We start from the raw sequence: 17,876 nt of genomic DNA, 5'->3' as shown, positions 1-17,876 counted from the left end.
TTCATTAAAAAAAGCTCTTTATGACTTAACAATATTGATCTTCTGCCCATTATACTTCTTGTAGATATGTCCTAAGTTATTTGTTAGTGTATTAGTTTTGTTTACAGTATTTTTTAACTTACAGAATTTTAAATTTCTATTATCAATCTTTTCCTTTTAGTGATTTCTTCTACTTTTTCATACTCAGAAATTATTTCTCCATCCTAAATATATTAAATGTTCAACTATATATTAATTTTACTTTTTAGCATTTAATTTTTACAGGTAATTTAAAAGCCATATGAATCATTTTAGTATATATAGTATGAAAGAAGCTCACCTTAAGTATTTTTCATATACTTTTCCCAGTATCATCTGTTGATTAAACTATTTCCTTTGCAGTGGTTTGTGATGTTTTCTTCAACATATCTTCATCCATTCCTTCCTGTTCTTATTCATATATGAATGCTTGGATTGTCACTTTCTGATATGTGTTAATCTCAGGTAGGTCAGGTCCAACTCACTGATTTATTTGGCTAATTGTATCTACTGAGTTTTCTAGATGTACCTTGGGGTCATTACATCAAGTTACCACTGTAAGCATTTGTCATCTTTATGGCCTCCAGTTATCTTCTAAGCAACCTCCCTACGTAAGAGGAATTTCCCATATCGTGAGCCGAGTCCTGCCTCTGCAGGGCTGATGCCACCACCCACTTTTCCAACTTTCCTTGCAGTTAGAATATAGACTAGGTTTTTTTTGAGTTTTTAAGCTAAACTCAACTTTGGCTTGAAACAATGCAATAATAAGAAGACCTGCCAAAGAAATCAATTTTGATGACAGAAGTGGCAGTAGAGGCATTCCTTTTGGGGAGCATCAGTGTCAAGAGTTTCTGCAACCCAGAGAACAGGAGCAGCAGGAGCTGGACCTGCTCTGGCACAGTGCCATGGTGTGGGCTGGGTGTTCTTCTAGGGTATTTGGCCTCCAATGCTCACTCTCTGGTACTAATACTAATTCTGTGAGCTACCTAATATACTTTAATAATTCCTCCCCTGCTTAAACCAGACAGAGTGCATTCAGTGTTTGCAATAAAGAAAACAGTTAAACACACATATACATACTCATGAAAAGTCTAATTGAAAGTACCATCACAACTATAATTTGGGGAAAATAACAATATTTAGCCTTTTCTCCAATGAACAGGACACATCTTTCCATTATTCATAACAGTTTACTTTTCAAATAAAGTTTTGTTGTGTTTTCATAGCAATCCCTTTCAAGTCTTCTGGTTATTTCAAAGCATGATATTTTCTGCCCTTTTGGAGGGTGGGCAGTGGGGGTGGGGTTATGGGAAAAGGGCATGGAATGCTGTCACAGAATATCACTCCTTTCTCCCACTATCATTTCTTACTTGTCATAGTTGGTAATATACAACAGCATTAACTTCTATATATCCATCTTGTATACAACCTACTTCATTATTAATTTTAGAACTTATTCACTGAATTCTCTTGGATTTTCTAGATTCTTTATGTCATATGAATATAACAAATTTTACCATCTTTGAATTATATATTTTGTTTCCATTTTATGTGTTATCTGACTGCAAAGAATGTGTAGCATAAAGTGTTATATTAATGGGGAAAGATTTTAACAAAATGCTTCTGGTATTTCACTAAAGTAAGACATTGGCCATTAGTCTAAATTAGATGTCTTTCTACATTATGGATTTCTCAATTCATTCTCATTTTCTAAATAATTTTTAGCAGAAATGGATGTTTAATTTTATCAAGGGCTTTTTCAATGTCTATTCAGATGAACATTTGACACGCTGCTATGATGTATTAACAGTGTTTATAATATTAAACTAATCAGCACTCTTAGAATCCCAAAAATTCACAGTAAATAATTCTTACACTGTTCTACCAACTTTTCACATTTATATTTCAAAGTAAAGTTGGTAATTTTTTAATTCCTTGCTGGATGGTTACTTTTCTTTCTTCAGTAACATAAAAGGAAATAATTGCTTTTCATGCTAGTAAGTTTTATTCTAAAATGTTTAAAAAACACACATGCATGCATATTTTAATTAATGAGTTGAGAAGAAATACAGTATTTATTCTTATTTCCTCCCCCATGCCTCAAAGTAAGTTAAGGAACTTTGCACATGTGTGCTTCTGTCACCCTTGTCTCTGATCTTAATGAGTTCTAGATCTATATTGCTATTAGTGAATTATCATTTATACTACATTTTAAAGTATCTTTTTAAACTTTCATTTTCCTATCAATACTATAGTACTTTTATAACTCATCTTTCCAATTTAAGTTCATTTTAATTTTTCAGTCATCTTCTGTAAATCCTTTTTGTTTTTTTGAGATGAAGTCTCGCTCTGTCGCCCAGGCTGGAGCGCAGCAGCACGATCTCGGCTCACTGTAACCTTCGCCTCCCGTGTTCAAGCAATTCTCCTGCCTCAGTCTCCTGGGTAGCTGGGACTACAGGTGTATGCCACTATGCCCGGCTAATTTTTGTATCTTTAGTAGAGACGGGGTTTTGCCATATTGGTCAGTCTGGTCTTGAACTCCTGACCTCAGGTGATACACCCCGCCCCCCCCTTGGCCTTCCAAAGTGCTGGGATTACAGGCGTGAGCCACCACGCCCAGCCATCTTCTGTATATCTTTAAGTGACTTTTCCAGGAAAGATCCATGGACTGTTATTTTGTGTGTTCTTGAATATATGATTTTATCTATCTACCTCCCTCCCTCCCTACCAAATAGAGTTCTCTGGCCATTACATCATTATCTAGCAGTGAAAGGTATGACTGAGGTCAGCATGCGTTTTATTCCTTTGTTAGCAATTATTTTATTTTATTTTATTTCCTGTTCAGATAGTTTCGGTTGTTTGTAGGTCTTTCGCCTTCATTGCTTAAAAATTTAAAAGCCACAAGACTATTTCTAGAGCAGAGTTTTGTTTGTTTCCACTATTTGTACCGATTTTACTGTTAACCAACTTATCAAAGTCTTCAATGATAGTATTTTTGATCATTGACTTTGTTCCATTAATTTGGCTCCCCCACCAAAAAGGCATATTATTACAGATTAATAAATGAATCCCCAACTTATCTGATGTGGGATGTTTAATACTGGAAAGTATAGTTTCTTAAATTTCCTACAGAAAGATAATACTGTTGGGAGGGCAATGGATGGCTCTGATCAGCACAAAATGCGGCTTCTTTGTGGTGCGGGGTTGGGTGGTGACTGCCAGATATTCTGATTGTAGGGACAGGTATAAAGTCTCTGATGTCAGGGTATGCAGTCCAGGAAGGTGAAATCCACCTTCTGTCTCCTGCCTATCTTGCTATCATACTGTTTCTGTGGTCTAGCCATGAGCTGATTACTGACACAAGATTTTCTGTTGACACAGGTAACAGCATTCATTCCTACTCAAGATGTGAATGATCATTGGTATGTTCTTAGTTTCCAGTATTATAGCAGTTTTACAAATAAGGTGTGGTGGCAGATGTTATGGGTATTTTAATAAAAAGCAGAATGCATGATTAGCTATCAAACATAAACTCACAAGTCAACTGCTTATTCTGAAGTAAATAAAGGTCAGCAACTTAAATTTAGATATTGTAACTTCTACCCTGCTAGTAAAGACAACTTCAGGAAATGAATGGTAAGCAGAATTCAGGTTAGATAGGCACACTGCACTCGTGACAGAAATAGTTAAAGCCCACATCACTAGAAGAAATGAACATCCCTCATTTTTGTCAACAATAGGAACAGTAGGATGAAATAAACAGCTTCACAGAACCACTGACAGGGCAGACTGATACTGCTTATGTGAAATGTGTTGTCAGGGGAGGTATGTACATCTCTTGATGTTAAAAGTCCGCCTATGTCTCCAGAGAAGGGAGAAAAATTTGCATTTGGTCCTTCTCTTTTGGAAATCAAAACTGTCAAATGAAATGATAACCCACATTTCCTACTGAAATAATGGCATAAGAGCACCAAATGTGAATCAATTCACCTATTTTTTTTTCTTTCAATTTCAAGGATGCTGGAATGTGTGCATTCCCAAGCCAAATTACTGATCCCACAAGGAAGTGGGCTTTTTACCAATTAAGGAACTTGTTTCATTTCCTGCATTTGGCCTATTTAAGATGATTTGCATCTCTAAACACTGAAGTAGGGCATGTTCTTTTGCTGAGGAACACACACACACACACACACACACACACACACACACACTTTCTCTCAAAGCCTTCGAAACTACGTTCATTCCTTCAGACACTGGCCGGTCACTCTGGTAACTATTGCAGGACTTCCAGTACATTCCCACATGTGCAAAAATAGGCTTTAGGCCTAATTGTTCCAGCGGATAGATATAACTACCACAAACTGGGATGTGTTGCTTCTCCAGATAAACAAGGGGATACCTGGCCTTCAAAGTTCCTGGGAGGCACGGTCCACAGGACAACCTGTTTTCCTCTCAAAATTCCTTCCAAAGGGCACATCCATCCTCAGATGCTGATGAAATGCGGAGTGCATATCCAGAACATGCTGGGGGTCACTCGGGCATGCCCTCACATCTTATGTCTGTTGGGCCCAACCAGCTAACCCATTCTTTTATCTTTAATATTTTAGATGCTGAGAGTGTCATTTGTCATCAGACCTGGAATACTAAAAGCATGCCTCCAATGGAGAACACAAGGCAGGTATATATTAATCCTGAGAACACAGGGTGAAAGAAAATCTTCTTTAAAGCCAAAGAACTAGAAATATGAAGGTACAGCCTTAGAAGGAATATTTTAAAATTTTATATATATATATATATATATATATCCAATCTCCTCCTTTAACAGAAAAGGAAATTAAAGCCAAGTTAAGAGAATTGTTCAAAGTCATATTTGATTGTTAGCAGACCATGATAAAACTTTAAGAAAATTAACCTGAAATATAACTTCTTTATATCTAAGGATAAAAGATGAGCAGAGTCCATGTAATTAAATGCCAGTCTCTCTGTTCATCAACATCTGATACCTTAATACATGGACCACTTTAGAATGCTCATGCTTTGGGGACGTCCTTAGGTATACGTGTATCAGCGACTCTCCACCAACGAGAAGGGTGTCAGCAGGAGGGTCAGCGGAATACTTAGGAAATGCATGGTTTTTATTACAAAGGTTAGGAAGTTTTCCTCTCTCAGCCCACGTGTTTCTCAGGTGGGTGCCGTCTCCTGCTGACTATTCTTGACATGATTTAGTTGCATGAGACCTGTTAGCTTACTATTACCTTGCTTATCTCTTGACTACTATTTTAATGTACCACAGCAATATAGTTCATTCCTAAAATAATACTAGAATTTTTTCTATACTTAAAACATCCCATAAATGATAAATATCACAACAAAATGACTGTAAACAAAAAAAATGCCTGTATTTCTTTTTGGAAAAGTGAGGTTTCTTCCCACCCCACCACCACTATCTATTTAAGTGGGGGACCCAAGTTCTTTGACAGATAATATGGCTTGGCTGTGTCCCCACCCAAAATCTCATTTTGAATTGTACTTCCTATAATCCCCACATGTTGTGGGAGGGACCCAGGGGAAAGTGACTGGATCATGGAGATGGTTTCTCCCATGCTATTCTCGTGATAGGGAGTGAGTCTCACAAGATCTGACGGCCTTATAATCATCTGGCATTTCCCCTGCTTGCTCTCACTCTTTCCTGCCGCCCTGTGAATAAGGTACCTTTCTTCCCCCTTCACCTTCCGCCATGATTGTAAGTTTTCTGAGGCCTTCCCAGCCATGCAGAACTGTGAGTCAATTAAACCTCTCCTTTATAAATTACCCAGTCTCGAGTATTTCTTCATAGCAGCATGAGAACAGACTAATACAACAGAATAGGACAGATGAAACATAAATGAAGAAAATCATTCATCTAAACACTGTGTTCAGGACCCAGAGAGAAGAGTGAATCAAGGCTCACTCTGGAGATGTCCCAGGTCTTTCCTGATTCTTCTAGAAGGCATCTTCAGGGATAGATTCCAGGGCCTCACTGGGAGGGGTGCAAGATGCAGAGATCTGGGGAGCAGAGCTCCAGAGCTGGGTCAGATACCAGCAAGTCACAGGATCCTGGACACTAGGTGCACTGGGTCTCCGTTTCCTAGAATGGTTTCAAGCCTGTGTGTGTGTATGTGTGTGTACACCGATTCTTCAGCTCAAGCAAAAGATTACTCCTTAGTCCAAAATGGGACAGGTTGAGCTTCTCTGGTTGAATGAAGCAAAGGTGGGGTAGGGGCTGTGAATCCCATTACCAGATCACCCTTGCCTCTCCCTATCACTGAGGCAGCCTCTCTGGAACTGCCGTGGTTCTGATCTACTGGAGTTGATTTTTTTTTAAATGCCATTAATTTCCCAAATCAGCTCGAAACCAGAGTAACTGTACCAGCAAAGGGACCTCCAAAGGTTGGTATATCAAAATGAAAATATCACAGACTACTGCAAGTGTGTCCCAGCAGAGACTTGGTTACATGGATGACACATGCCTTGTCAATAATCCCCTTGGAGATGGCAATAAGCCTGTGTCCTAATTTGCTTTGTATTTACACACTATGATGTCGTATCATTTCTAGCTACAAATTTCTAGCTATAAATTCAGATTGGTTGTAATAATCCTCTGGTAGTTTCTTAAAACTTGACACTGTTGTTGTACTTTATAATACTGAAAATACTTTCCCATTTAAACAATCATATGAGGTTCCAAGAGCAAGTTTGACTACTTCCATTTGATAGATGAGGAGGTTGAGACCCAGAGAGTGAACTGCCCAAAGTAGAATTGCTGCTAACTGGGAGGGCTAGGTAAAGACCAGATCTTTTACCCTGCGGTCCAGTGTTTATTATGTACACCATTTAGCATATCATTAATTGTCAGCCATCTCAAAATCAAAAGGGTTTGGGTAGCAGAATTTCTGAGTTACATAGTAGAAGGAGGTTTCTACACTAAAGTATAGTCCTCAATGTCTGGCAGGAACAAAAGTGTGACAGGCTCTGTAGCCTCCTGCAATAGTTCCTTCTTCATTCATCTCACTGACGTCATCAGGTCATCATGATGTCACTGGGTACAAAGTTCCTGGAAGTTTAACACAACTGGCTATTGTTTCAGCTAGGGAGAACATACTGGAGAGGTACTTAGATATGTGTAAAGTTATCTTGGTGCCTATACAACACATTCTTGATGCTTATTAAATGTCATTTGCAGCAAGCATTAAAGAGCATTTCCTGTGGATACAATCTCTGGCTTCTAGGGCCTCAAAAATCTAAGTAAGGAAATAATGGAAAGCCCAACAACACAAATACAAGACAATAAAAGGCCAACACTTGAAAGAACATTTTTCTTGGATTAAGCTGAGAAACTAATCAGAGTTGATCACAAAGATTCATGAATAATGCTATTCACCACAGCATTACTTATAAGAACAAAAATACTGGGAACAGCCAAAATGTCCATTAGGGGGAGGCAGTTATGGCACTTCCATAAAATAGAATATTTTGTATCTTTTGAAACCAACCATTAGGGGAAAAAAGATATTTAAGGACATATAAAAACAGTCAAAACATAATGCTAAAAGAAAATGATATAGACATAAAATTATATTTATGATCATACATTTATATATGTATATACAAATGTATATATATAAATCATATTTATATAAATTTATGTAAGGATGTTATAAATATTATAATAGATATATAAAATGCACAGACATACATTCAAATGTTAAGTAGTTAATTCTGAGTAATGGATAAGAATATAGATGATTTATATTTATTTATTTCTATTTTCTTTTATCTATATGTTTCTTTTAAGGGGGACAATATAGATGATTTTTCAATTCTTCTTTGTTCTTATATTTTCCAAGTTTTCTACACTGAATATATACAGCTTTTGTAAATAGAAGTTTTTAAACATATTTTTAAAAACATCTAAAATAGTTCAGATTTTTTTCAAGCAAAATTCATCTCTCCCCCCTAAAACTATATGACTGTTTTTGTATTTATACACTTCTAAATTTTATCTACCTCTCTCCTCCCTTGACTAGGGAAACCAAAATATGCTACCAACTCCAGTGCAGAGTGTTGATGGGCTCCTCCTCCCCAGGCTTGAACCCTCTAAACTTCTGGGTTGCCACAGTGTGTGCACACCTGAACACTTCATGACAAGCTCTGCAATTACTCACTGTTACTCCAAACATGAAAGCTTAGAACTTCAAAGCCTGCAGTTTACACGGCTTTTGTAGAGAAGTACTCATACATTGCTGTAGTCAGTTTTTAAAATCTGCATTAAAGCATCATAAAGCTGAAACTACAATTATGCCAGAATGAATAAGTTCAAAGATACAGATATCATTCCTGTACATGATATTTAAATGTGCCAAAAAAAGAAAATGCTTTTTAGCATATATACTTGATTTTAAGATACAGACTTTTAAACTTCCCTTACTGGTTGCCTGATGGGTACAGGCCACTGTGGCTGTGTTGAGCATTCAGCCTTCTGTCTATGGCACTGGGCACTTAATGAAGACAGCTGGCTGATCCTCACACTAACGGAGCCCCTGCCTCAAGTCCTTTTGTCTCTGTGGAACAGTTAGTTTGCCTGTGACACAAATCCACACTCTCTCACCAGCTAATGACTGGAGGAAGACAGTCTCTATTTACATACAGCTGAGGATTTCTAACTCAAATTCAGAGATAAACCTGAGAGTAAACTGCTGACGAGTGAGCTAGGAGCAGAAAAGCCAAAGCCACAGAAATCACTGTGACGGTCACCGAAACTGTCCTGTCACAGACTACCATGTTCTCAAAACCACAAGAGTGAGAGGTGACTAGGAAGAATTTTAAATGTACCTTTTACTTTCTAGGTGGTCACTGATCATATCTTAGAACAAAAGCAACCCTAGACACAAGGCAATTTCTCATTTTCAACTAGCAGATGAGAAAATTATTTTTCCCAGTTTGAATACATAAACTTTTAGGGATTTAGCATATATATACTAATACATTGTCATTTATACTATTTATTAATTTAGACATTTTAAGCAATAAATATGTAATTATATGCTGCACCAGATTTAAATCTGAAAATGTCGAATACAAAAATGGACAAAGTAGATAAACCAATTATTTTAATTTCCAATTGTATTTTTTTGACAAAATTTGATACTAAAAAGATTATCCTATCTCAGTAACTTCAAGAAGTTGACTATTTTGAGACTCTAGTTTTTCAAGAGTTCTTCTCCTCTCTAAAATTTATAAGAATCTAACCTCAAGAATTCCCAATGTCGATTTTCTGTCAAAAATAGAAAGTTTTAGATTTCCTTGCTTTAGGTGAAGCACTGCCCTGTTTGGCTGCTTTTTGGACTTGGCAGGTTGTATATCAGTCTCACCTTGGCAACTAAATTATGGAAGAGTTTGAAAGGCAACAGCCTCCATTCAGCTTAGCAATGGTTGAAATGGATTATATTATGGACAAGGCAAATGAAAGATTTGCTAAAACTACTTTCAAAATAAAGTAATTAAGATAATGTATGATGTACAGGGCTTTGTGGTACTTCAGTATTAAGGAAGACTCCCTCTTTTGGGGGAAAGTAATCCTTGACTTGCATTAGGGCACATGCTGCATTTTTGGTCCTAAGAGTCAAATGAGTCTTTGGCCATTTATCTATAAACAATTATTTATTCTTTCAGTGGACATCTGTGACGCACCTGATAGGGCTGGCTGACTTGATGTTAAGATGGACGCCTCCCTCATTGTGGGCACCCGTCTGCTCTTGGATTCTATGGCACTGCATTCTCCACCTTCCCTCCTGCATCTCAGGTTTCTGCTTCTCAGTCTCCTGCTGGCCATGTGTCCTCTCAGGACCTTAAAATGTTAGCATTGTAGAGCCAGGCTTTGGCTTCTTCTCACTCCAACTCTCCTTTCAATGATTTCCTCCCCTCTCACTATTTTAAATACCATCAGTGAATTAATGGCTTCCAACTGACATCGCCAACACAGAGGCAACCTCTGAGTTTCAGACCTATGTAACAACAACTGCCTATTTACATCACTTGAATGACTCATGAGCAAGTTGGCCCAATATGCAGCAAAGTGAACTCTTAAGTATGACCTCTGATTCATTTTTCTCGTTTCTTCCATCTTGAGAAATGTCCCGTCCAGTCTTCCATATTCTCAGCAAGCTGGAAGTCACCTTTGATCAACTCTGTCTCACCCTACATCCAATCTTTCTTTAAGGACTGTCAATTCTAACATGGAAAATATGTAATTAAGATCCAGCTGGGACTTCAGCAACCAACCCTAGCTAAACAAAGTCCCCAGTGGATACACAAACACAACAAAAATGCTGCAAAATTGTGATTGAAAAGCAAAATTAAACAGAATGAAAAACCTGCCCTATGGGTGTCTGCCCAGGATGACCCATGTTCTTACAAAAAAAAAAAAAGTTGCTACCACTTTTGTTAACATGGGTGAGCTTCAAAATTAAAATTAGGCATCAGTTTCCAACAGCTTTAATTTATAATAAAGGAGAGAATAAAAATCTAAATCAAAGGCCATTCAGATTAAATTCTCTTACACCCAGAGATTAGGGAAATATGAACAATGTCATTGAATTATTACTAGGAATAGATTATACATCAACATTACAGACTTCCTAAAGGGCCAAAATGATAAATGAAGGGCACAGGGCAGATGGATCTGCATAAAGGAATTAACAAAGACTAATGATGTTGGTATATACACCCGATTATTGACTTGACACAAAGCAATACCCCAGACTAGGAAAACACATTGACTGACGTCAGTCCATCTGATTTTATCATTCTTTTCCTTAAGCAGGAAGGGCAAGATGTGTCATTACTTAAGTAACAATTGGCAATTACACAAAGGCTAAAGACAAAAAAAAAAAAGTGAGTACAGCATGGAACATAAAGATGGTATTCTCCGTAATGCAGAGAAACTTATTAATGAAATGAAGTCACAGAACAGATGCACTGTGAAATGATATAGCTTGGACATACACACTATAAGAAATCTGATCTTGGGGCTCAGTGAAAAAGGTTTTAATAAAATTAGATGATTCCAAGATGATGCTCTACCCATGGCTGACTAAAGGAATCACCTGGATAAAGTTTAGCCACATGATTTGCCTATTTTACCAACATAAAATGACACTCTACAAGGAGGACAGCAAGGTGCCCTAAACTGAAGATAAGGTTTTACAAGTTGATTTTGTTGAGACTGACATATTTTTTTTTAAAAAGGAAATGTATGATGTCAGAAATCCCTTTGAAAAAACAAAAAAGAAAGTTAATATTATTTTAAAGAAACAGTGGTTATGTGGGGCACCAGGAAACTTAATTCCTATTAAGGCTAACAATTAATTTGTTATGACTCCATGAGCACCTAATTTTCCTTTGTCCTATTCCCTAAATTTAAAGAGGCAAGGGAACTATTTGTCTTGTACTATCATGTCTATGCAGCTAAAGGAGGTCATTGCCTTGCTGAATGAACATTTTTATTAAAGATCTATAAAGCAGGTTCAAACATTTGGGAAATAATATTTCAAGCATGGAAAATCTGCTGAAGGCTTTTGAATGAAAGTCACAAAATAAACACAACAAAGGCAATATTTCACTCAGGGCCATGTCTCCAGCCTCACATTTTTTTTTTTGGGGACCATCTTGCTCTGTCGCCCAGGCTGGAGTGCAGTGGCGTGATCTCGGCTCACTGCAGCCTCCGCCTCCTGGGTTCAAGCGATTCTCCTACCTCAGCTTCCTGAGTAGCTGGGACTACAGGTATGTGCCACCACGCCCGGCTAATTTTTGTATTTTTAGTAAAGATGGTTTCACCATGTTGGCCAGGATGGTCTGGATCTCCCAACCTCGTAATCCGCCCACCTCAGCCTCCCAAAGTGCTTGGATTACAGGCGTGAGCCACCGCGCCCAGCCCAGCCTCATCTTATAAAGAGAATTCTTTCACTGGCACCTAAAGATCATTCATCTCTAATGACTAAATTGTTCTCACCAGCAAACTAAAATTCATAAGTAATAGCCTCTCCTTTGAGCACTGCATGAAAATCTGATGGTACCACAAATACCTGAGCAGAAAGGTGTGTGTATCAGTCAACTCCAGGAGTCTGGGGAGGTGGAAAAAACTGTTGTAATGCCCATTTGGCTTACAGACTTCCTTCCTTTGTAGGCTCACCAATACAGTTTAGAAAGAATTCAGATTTTTTTTTTTTTTTTTTGCCCAAGAACTTCTTCACTGCTTAGGAAAACCATCATCCTATACTGACAGACTAAGAGTATGAAAAGGTAAAGAAATGCGTCACTGGTGCTGAACTTGTTAAGCAGAAAGAGGGAGGGGAAGCAATGAGATCAGAGCAGGAGATGCTGAGAGCAAGACCAGTCTTGTCAAAAAAGCAAAACTCTGTACAACTATACATAACAACAAACTTGGAAGAAATCAGAAGAATAAAAAAAAGACTGACAGTTTGGACCACACATACATGCACAAAATGAAAAATAATAACTTCTATTAGTAAAAAAAAAACCCTCACTGTTATAAAAAGGGAAATGGCAAATTGAAAAAGGATACTGGTGAGATTATAAAAGATTAATATCAGTTCTCACTTCTTATAAGCCAATAAAATAAAAATTAAACAAAAGAGAGGGACCAAGGATAAAAATAAAGGTAAATAACAAAAGGAGATACAAATGGTTAATGAGTATGGAAAATGTCTAAATCCCATAGAAATAAAACATGTACATTACGAATAGTAAGATATTATGTTTGGCTTGTACTGATGGACTCTTCAACACTGTACTATTTGGTGGTGATAAGGGGGGAACAAAAGTTTCAACATAGGCATTTCAGTCACATGTTCAGATGGACACACACACACACACAGAGTACATACAGGAAAAAAGACTGAAGAATACAATAAACTGGTAATAGGGGTTATCTCCAAGTAATGGGTTAATAGAGGATTTATATTTCCCAGGTGATTTCTTGTATATCTTACAAACTATTAGCTTTACTGTTATAATCAGAAACTCACACTTTTAAAGCAAACAAGCCTTGAAGATTAGAGTCATGGCAACATAGCCTATAAACTCTCTTAAAATTTTAAAACGAAACAGTCACACGCCTATTAGTAAACAAGTAAGTGCTTGGTTGGCATTATGTGCCAAAATTTCAGGTTTTACTAAATCCCTTACGGCCCAACTACACATCTTCCAAGGTTAAAGTCCTGGGGCAGTAGAATATTACAAAGTTTCATGCTGATATCAAGGATGGCACTGGGTTATAATAGTGATACTCCCTACTTTGGGAGGCCGAGGCAGGTGGATCACGAGGTCAGGAGATCGAGACCATCCTGGGTAACATGATAAAACCCCGTCTCTACTAAAAATACAAAAAATTAGCCAGGCGTGGTGGCAGGCGCCTGTAGTCCCAGTTACTCAGGAGGCTGAGGCAGGAGAATGGTGTGAACCTGTGAGGCGGAGCTTAGAGTGAGCGGAGATCGCTCCACTGCACTCCAGCCTGGGCGACAGAGCAAGACTGTCTCAAAAAAAAAAAAAAAAAAAAAATTGTGATACTCCCAGGAGTATCTCTGGCACACTGGAATATCTGCTTACCCTGTTCTACCCCAGACTGTCTTCTCTGAATTCATTAGTCTGCCTTGTTTATTTTTCCCTATCTCCACCTTATTGCCAGACTATTAACTTTCAATTATTTGCATTAACATGCCTGTTTATAAAACCATTGCCTTTACCACCGTCCAATTTAGTATCTCATCTAATGAACGAGTTGCAAGATTGAGGGGAGTGGAACTGATATAGCTGAAGCGCAAGGTGAGCAAGTTGCAAACAATTCTCATGTATGGCTCAAAAAGAGACTCTAAAAGAAATCAAAAGGAGAAAGGTCCTTAAGAGTTGTCTGAAATAATGAAGATATTCTGTTTAAAAAATGTACATGATGTCATATAGTTTCTCCTTGGAAACCCTCTAAGTTACAAGCTGAGTTTTATTTGTTAAGTCAAAGCCCCATGGGTGGTTGTGGGGTGGGAGGCAGAGGAGATAATGAAGGGATATGCATGAAAATGTTCACGTGATTCATTTTGAAGAGTGGGATTCGGGATGTTTTGTTTTGTTGCCCAAACCCCATGTGCCTACCCGAAACAAGCAGAACACAGCTGCATAAATACAGTGGTGACTAACCCTTAAGAAATGAAGTCTCTTTGTAACCTAAATCTATATATACACATAGACAGAGATTTAGGGATATTTCCTATCTTTAATAACTCCTAAAATTGCCCAACAGAAAAGTGAAACTCCTTTCCATCCTTCCTTACAGAAACCCTTTTAAAAATACATCAAAGTAGCCACCTGCAAATTCATAGTAAAACAACTTTTGAAGACACAGAAAATAGGTATTTTGGCCAACAGGGCTACATTTGCTACCTAAGCACTTTAAAAGCCTGGAGTCACTGTGTCTCAGTTTTTATCTCCTTTTCCTCTGTGGCTCATCCTCTTAAGTATCACTCTTAGAGCTCCTACTTTTACTCATTTAAATCAAAATACAATATGAAGTGTTACTGTGGTAGGCAGAATTCTAACCATGGTCTCCTCAAAATTCCAGTCCCCTAGTTATTCAATCAAAAATGAATACTACTATGAAGAGATTTTTTTAGCTGTAATTGTCCCAAGTCAGTTGACCTTCAAGTATAGAGATTATCTGAGTGGGGCCTCACTCAACCAAGTGAGCCTTTTAAAAGCAAGAGTTTTCTCTGGTTGATGGAAGGAGCAGCAGTCAGATTTGAAGTGCGAGAATGACCGGATATGCCCCTGCTGGCTACAAGATCGCAGAGGGCAGCCAGCCTCTAGGAGCTGAAAAGCAGCTCCTTGCTGATAGCCAGGGTGAAGCGGGGAACTCAGTCCTACAAAGGCAATGACCTAAATCTGTCCACAACTGCATGGGCTTGGAAGTGAGTTCTTTCCCAGCCTCCAGGTAAGAGCCCAGCTCAACCAACACCTTGATTTTGGCCTCATAATACCCTGAGCAGAGAACCCAGGCGAGCCTGCCCAGACTTCTGCCCTGAAGAACTGTAAGATTAATAAATGCATGTTGTTTAAACCAGTAAATTATGAGTAATTTGTTACTACAGCAATAGAAAACTACTGCAGATATTATGTTGTTTTCTTATGGGTTTTATTTTTACAGCCTTCTTTTTATTAGAAAGGCACTATGTGCTAATTTCCCTACTTTCTTATTCGCTAAACAATTAACAGTTTCTCCTTTCCTTTTCCACAAATTTCTATGACTATGCATGAATATACAAGTGTGCTTTCATCTGTGTATACACACTCTAAAACACAGATGCACATGAAATGACAACATGCAATGTTTTCACCTAACAATGTATCTTGTGTATCCTTCCAATACCAGCACATGAAAGCCCACCTTGTTCTTTGTAACAACTATGTAGTGCTGGGTTACACCCCTGAATCATTATTTACTTAACTAGTCCATTACTGAAGAAAAATTTAAATAAAAAACTGGTACCTTTCCATTTGCTAGGTACAAAAGCCATGCTATACTTATAATTTTCTGTTATTTTATGAGAATATCAGTAAGATAAATTCCTTTAGGTTAATTTGCCGGGCAAAAGGGTAAACACATTTGAAATATTCACCAATACTGAAAACCACTAACCAAAATGGTTACACTAATTCACATCAACCCTTAGATCATGGGAAAGGGACCGCTTTCCCATATCTTTGCTATCACTGAATTTTATCAATTAAAAAAGGTTTTTGACCCCATGCTAGGTGAATGATACTATCTCCTCCACCCATGGTGGAGTTCAGTGGCACCATTATAGCTCACTGCAGACTAGATCTCCCCAGCTCAGGCGATCCTCTCACCTCAGCCTCCTGAGTAGCTGGGACCACAGGCATGTGCCACCATGCCTGGGTAATTTTTAGAAATTTTGTAGAGATGAGGTCTCACTATGTCATCTAGGCTCAAACTCCTGGGCTCAAGCAATCCTCCTGCCTCAGTCTCCCACAGTGCTGCAATCACAAGTGTGACCACTGTGCCTGGCCACTTTTTTTTTTTTTTTATAATTGCAATGACATATCATTTCATGTTTTGTTGGCTATTTTTTCCTTATGTCATGCTATTTGCACCTTTTGCCCATTTTTCTATTGGTGCATTCACCATTTCATATCAATTTACACAATTTCTTCATGTAAACTGGCAATCAGTCATGGGCACAAACATTTTTCATACTTTGATTTCTTTTGAGTTTGTTTTTGATACAGAAATTTTCATTGTAAGAGAGGTACACTAGTCTTTTCCCTTTGAGACTTCTGGATTATTTTTCATGCTTAGAATCTTCCTGGACATAAGAGCCTGTGATTTTCTATGCCTTCTTTTCTTTTCTTTTCTTTCCTTCTTTTTTTTTTTTTTAATGAGACTGTGCTATTCACTGTTCTTTTAGGAATCTCTGGCTCCCCACAAACACTATTTTGTGAAGACATGCTCCAGACCACTGTGTATGCCAATATCTCTTTCTCCCCAGAGCACTGCTGACACCCCTACACAAATTAATGTCCCCATCTCTACTGATACATCTGATAGGTACAAACGATGTGTCCGTGATGACTGGTGGGGCTCATGTAATCCCCACCTAAGAAAAGTAGAAAGTGCAACTTTATCTTTTAGGTTAATAAGTGCTGAGAGATGGAGGTTTTTCCTTCTCATTTTGATGGAGATGCCTAGAAAACCTCGCCTGACACTCTTTGTCCAACGCAGGATAGAGAACATAGCAACAGAAAGGGTGAGGCAAAAGGCATGGCTGGTGAAGAGGCACTGCATGTTATCAGGATGTGGGGCCTGGTCCTGTATCGTATTCACATGTTTTTCTTCTTTTTATACAGAAATAGGAATCTACCAGACAGTAATAAATGCCACTTCTCACAGAAAGTCTGACAGGCTTCCACTGCCTCTGAGAGAACAACAACATGTTGGCTCCATAACATAAAGAAAAACAATGCTGGGTGCGGTGCGGTGGCTCGTGCCTATGATCCCAGCACTTTGGGTGGCTGAGGCAGGAGGACTGCTTGAGCACAGGAGTTTGAGACCAGCCTGGCCAACAGGGCGAAACCTTCTCTCTACTAAAAATACAAAAAAAAAAAATTAGCTGGGCATGGTGGCATGGCCTATAATGCCAGCTACCCAGGAGGCTGAGGCATGAGAATCTCTTGAACCCAGGAGGCAGAAGTTACAGTTAGCTGAGATCGTGCCTCTGCACTCCAGCCTGGGCAACAGAGGTAGGTTTTGTCTCAAAAACAAAAACAAAACACTCTTAGAACCTGAATGACAGGCTTCCCTCTGCCCATTCCTCTGATTAAATTCTATATTAATGTTGAAGGAGAAAGAACTTAAGCTAAGTCTATGAAAGCAAATAAAAATAATTAAAAGGATCATTAAAGTCTTCACCACGTTCTGTCGTCTCAATATTAGAAGTGAAGAAAATCACAGCTATAAAAGATGAATCAACAGGCACATAAATGATGGTGAAATTGCTATAAATACTATAAAGAGGAGCGAGATTAAAATCTTTAAATCGCAGAATTATATACTAAAAAACAGAATCATCATTCACTTAGCATCTAGCATACACTGCTGCGCACTGTGCTGAGTGCTAGAGTAATGTCCCAAGTAAGGTATCTGGCACTGTTTGACCCTCTGTAGGATTTTAATGACAGGGTGTAATATCAATCTCACAAACAGAAATGGTAGTAATAGAAGTAATGTATCCTCA

At 38.2% G+C, this 17,876-nt stretch overlaps 1 protein-coding gene across 28 annotated transcripts in view, besides 1 other annotated feature; it reads right to left on the bottom strand.

Moving 5' to 3' along the window:
* Positions 1-17,876, bottom strand: part of MAST4 (microtubule associated serine/threonine kinase family member 4) — a 573,201-nt gene that overhangs the window by 95,483 nt on the left and 459,842 nt on the right. The gene's annotated exons all lie outside the window — the stretch shown is intronic.
* Positions 14,602-15,144: an enhancer, noted in NCBI's record as "OCT4-NANOG hESC enhancer chr5:66354795-66355337 (GRCh37/hg19 assembly coordinates)". NCBI's record gives its function as "activates a minimal SCP1, AML or CMV promoter by ChIP-STARR-seq in primed H9 embryonic stem cells {active_cell/tissue: H9 hESC(primed)}" and the evidence as "EXISTENCE:reporter gene assay evidence [ECO:0000049][PMID:30033119]".

The sequence above is a fragment of the Homo sapiens genome, chromosome 5, assembly GCF_000001405.40.
Source record: "Homo sapiens chromosome 5, GRCh38.p14 Primary Assembly".
NCBI classification, from domain to species: domain Eukaryota; kingdom Metazoa; phylum Chordata; class Mammalia; order Primates; family Hominidae; genus Homo; species Homo sapiens.
Note: the sequence above shows the minus strand (reverse complement) of the source record. Positions and strands in the feature narration are given on the sequence as shown.